Here is a 4,362-nt window from a genome sequence, read left to right on the forward strand (position 1 = left end):
GCTCTCTCCCATTCCAAAGACCCAAAATCCCTGATAATGTTCAAATATGTAAAATATTGGTGAGCCCCATATTAAGCACTTACAACATGCTGAGAATTCTAAGCAACTCAGTGGTCATAACTAAACTGGTATTGCATTTTGTGTGTGCCTAGCACACAACTAGGTCTACTGAGACGTGGAAGTAATATAAAAAAGAATTATCTGTCCTCAAGTAGCTTACATTGTTGTTACAGAAATGAAATTAACACATAAAATAATTACTGAGTCATACTCCAGAGGAGATAATTGACTCCAAAGTTGAAAGAACATGCTGGGAATTTAGAAAAGGCTGAAATCAAAGAGGATTGGATTATTCAGAAGTGATTGTGAAGTTTGTAATTAGAATGTGGACTAGGCTTTGAAAACTATATGAAGTTTGGCCAGATGGGAAGGGATCAGTAAGATCTTCCAAGCATGAGAATCAATATGAAGATGAATACGCAGAAAGGGGAATTGTGTCACTGGCCCAGAGACATGTGCTAGCATCTCATGGGAATATGCTTTGGTTAGGTGAAATCAGATAGAAGAGCATTACAAAATAAAATAATAGTTTAGGCATTAGGTGGAAGGAAATATAATGAACTGCTGTGTTTAAGTATCAGAAGCTTGTAACATGTGGCAGGAAAGATTATTTTAGGTGCATGTGGACACAGCATTAGGGAACATTGAATCATTTTATGAGAAAGTTATTCCCCTTTCAGTTCTTTTAATTGTACTAGTAAAACTTTGCCACATCTGCATCACTTGTTAATTTCCCTTTGTAGGAAAAGAGAAAACAAACCTCAGGAACAACACCTTTGGCTGGCAAACTATCCACATAATAAATTAATAACATAGTGTTTCCATTGTATCGACTTTAAATTAATTACCTTCTAATTCCATTAAGTGATAATGGTTTTCTCTTCATGACTGTGATATAGCATTTACTTTAAAAATACATTTTTTTTTTAGAGCTGAACAATGACCAATTCATGAAGTGATATAAACAGTAGGAAGATCTGAGAAAAGTCTTGAAGGTGGCCTGTGATAGAAAGAGCACAGGTCCTCAAAATGAAAGCCTGGCTCTGATTCCCACTTCTGTAGCTTATTAACATTGACCTGGAGTAAAACACTTACTCTCACTGAGCCTCAGTTTCCTTGTCTGTCAAATGAGGGGTTGGGTGAGATGATCACCAGGGTCTCCTTCTACTCACAATTGCGTGATTAAAGGGCTATTCAGTGGACAGTGACAAGATGAAAGCAGCATTTAAAGAAGATTCGTCTGGCAGTGGCAGGAAGGTGAGATTGGAGAGGAGAAAGTTGGGGTCACGGAGGCCACATAGGTGGCCGTTTCCATAATCCAGGAATGAGCCGAAAAGGGCCATGGCTAGGATGATGATGCTGAGACTTTGAGAGGTGAAGAGACATGGAAGACATTTCAAAGGAAGAGTTGACAGCATTTCATAACTAAATAGTGAAAAAACATAAAAATGATTTGGGGATAACAAACTTGGTGAAGTGAAAAGGGAAACTGTTTAACAAAATCCTGTGTTGGAAAGAAGAGCTTGTCTGGTTTTAAAAATCATGAGTTTGGGCTGATTGCAAGATACTGGTATTGAAATCCCCTAGGACAGCTGAAATATAGGACTGCCACCTAGATAAAAAGAATGATGTGGAAATATAGATTTAAGGGTCTTCTGCACTGAAATAATGAATAATTTGCTTGAGCGAGCTCAAAACAAGAATAGCAGAAAGTCCAAAAATTGAATTTCAGAATATGACGCCTATTGTTAAAAAGGCCAGGAGAAGCAAGAAAGACCAAACAAAGAAACAAAAATGGAATTTTCAGAGTATGAAAAACACCAGAAAGCAGAATGCTCAGAGTATGAGAGAAGCCAGAATGGTGTGGGGTTCTGCAAACCAAGAAATAAACCAGTTTTCAAAATATGAGTTGCATTGAAGTACAGAAAGTCATGCAAGGAATAGGGGCTCTGGGGCCACAGCAAAAGCTTGACTAATGTCATTAATGCCCTTTGTTTGAGCAGAAAGCATCAGAGTGGTAACAGTTGATTAAGACTAAGAAGAGATTAAGAAGCCCGTTAGAAGGGAAAACTCAAATTACAAAAATCATAGTGTCATTTTGCATCCATAAATACACACAACTATAATTTGTCAATACAAAATCTTAAAACTTTACGTAAAAAATTTTAAGTCGAGGTAAAAACACAGAAATTTGGTAGGAAGAAGGAAGAGAAAAATAAGATACTGGCAAGAGAAAAGCTGCAGATTCATGGAAAGTTTATTTTTAAAATATATGGAAGGTGGGCATGGTGGCTCACAGCTTCATGTGGCTTAAGTGGGAAGATCACTTGAGTTCAGGAGTTTGAGAGTATAGACGTCGATGACCATGCCTGCAAATAGCCACTGCACTCCAGCCTGGACAACATAGCAAAACTCCATATGTATATGTATATATGGGAGACTATAATTTTGATAACAGAGGAGGATCTAAGGCTCTTGGGAAGAGATTCATGGAAGGTTCTAGAAAGTAAAGTGAGATAAATTGTGGACTCCACATTGTGAGGTCCAAATTATGAATATGGCCCAACCCTTGAATCACCCAAGGAGGCCCATAATTAACTTCAAAGAAAGAGGCCTCATGTTTATTTCCTTTTCCCCAGCACATCTTCAACCCAGTTTAGGTGCAAAAAATCACTAAAAAAGAAATTAGTGTTGAAGGTCTGAATTTTGGGGGGCAGACTTTTATTGTAGATTCAGTCCTTCAAGACCTTCCAATCTCAATTGGCCTCTGGGGTTGAGATGGATGTACCCTTTTCCTACAGAAAATCTGGAACATCCTGACTTCCTTGTTCTAGCAACTTAAGTGTGAAGCTGGGGCACTCACATTATTAAGCCATGATACACTTACCACCCTGGAGAGGATGAGCAAATGCTGTTTGAGTATTTCACACATGCTCAGTTGTTACAGCAATTGCCTTTTATTGTAGGTGTGGTCGTTTCCAGAAGGCTACAAAACACTGTGAGCCAGGATCTCAGCTTATGTCAGGAAATAAATCAGGCTGCTGTGGGACAGGAGTTGTCACCAGCTATACAAGAATCTAAAAATACAGGGGCCAGATTGTCAACCCATGCAACTCTAGGGGAATTCCCTGTACCAAAGCTGTATATAATTCATTTACCTGAACAAGAAATCCCAGTAGACGCTGTGCCCAGATGCTCTGATGCCTATAGGAAGGTTTCTAGATTTGACACCTATTATCCCTGAAAACAACGAAAGAATGGGAGACTGAATCGAGTTTCCTAATATTAATTAAAGTTGTAATTCTGAACATATTGTCTAAATTCAGTGTTAAGCAATATATCATATTAAGAACACAGATTCTTTGCATCGTGAAATTCTGACTCCTCCACTTATTCGTGGCAGGTTATTTAACTCTCTTGTGCCCTAGTTCTTTCATCTGGAAGGTGGGAAACCTCATTGGTTTGCTGGGAGGATTCAGCGAGTTGATATATTTAAAGGCTTACAACAGTGTTGACATATAGCAAGCTCTATGTACCCTGGTTAGCTCCTTATGATCTGATAGGTGGATATATACCCACAGTGAATTTGGAATTGGGTCATAAACAAAAATTAATGTTTCCTGGAGATTGGTCTTAATGTTACCTCAGAATCCACTTTACTGACTTTTCCTTCTTTTGTTCATGTTATTCACTCCCTCCTCCAGTCCTCTCCATCAAGTATAGGAATAATTGAAGCTACATAGAACTTTTTAAAACTTTTATGCATTTTTGTGCATGTGGGAAATCAAAGATAAGAGTGAAATAGTGTCTCCAAATTTCTGACAGATACTAATCTCTGGAATATAAGAACAAGAAATCAGAACTCCCAGTAATTCTTGAGAATTCTCCAATGCATGTTATTCTAAAATAGTCCAACATTGATCATATTCTTTACTCATTATCACAGATATCTTTAAAAGGTTATTTGGTAAATAAGAAATGTTAAGTTTGTAAGTAATATTGTTTGTAACTATCAAAGTACAAAAACTTTGATAGTTTGTGTACTTTGGTACAAGAACTGTAGTGTATACAGAATATTCAAACACTGGCAAAAACTGTGATCATTATTAGGTGGGATGCGCAAAACATAACATTCAGACCTCCTGGCAAGGTTAACGGCACTACACAGAACCACACATCAAAACTGCCAATTTAAGATCTTAGTTCACTTTCAAACTTGTAATTTCTTGGATTTCTTATTTCATAAGATTTGAATAAAGTATGCTATTCCTATAAATTTATACTTAGCAGCAGACAGGGCCA

The 4,362-nt window shown here is 37.5% G+C and overlaps 1 annotated feature.

Moving 5' to 3' along the window:
• Positions 3,890-4,059: an enhancer, noted in NCBI's record as "experimental_98226 CRE fragment used in MPRA reporter constructs". NCBI's record gives its function as "activates a minimal promoter by MPRAs in K562 erythroleukemia cells, with activity observed for both the introgressed and non-introgressed 7:21195352 variant alleles {active_cell/tissue: K562}" and the evidence as "EXISTENCE:reporter gene assay evidence [ECO:0000049][PMID:34662402]".

This window comes from Homo sapiens, chromosome 7 (genome assembly GCF_000001405.40).
Source record: "Homo sapiens chromosome 7, GRCh38.p14 Primary Assembly".
Lineage (NCBI taxonomy): Eukaryota > Metazoa > Chordata > Mammalia > Primates > Hominidae > Homo > Homo sapiens.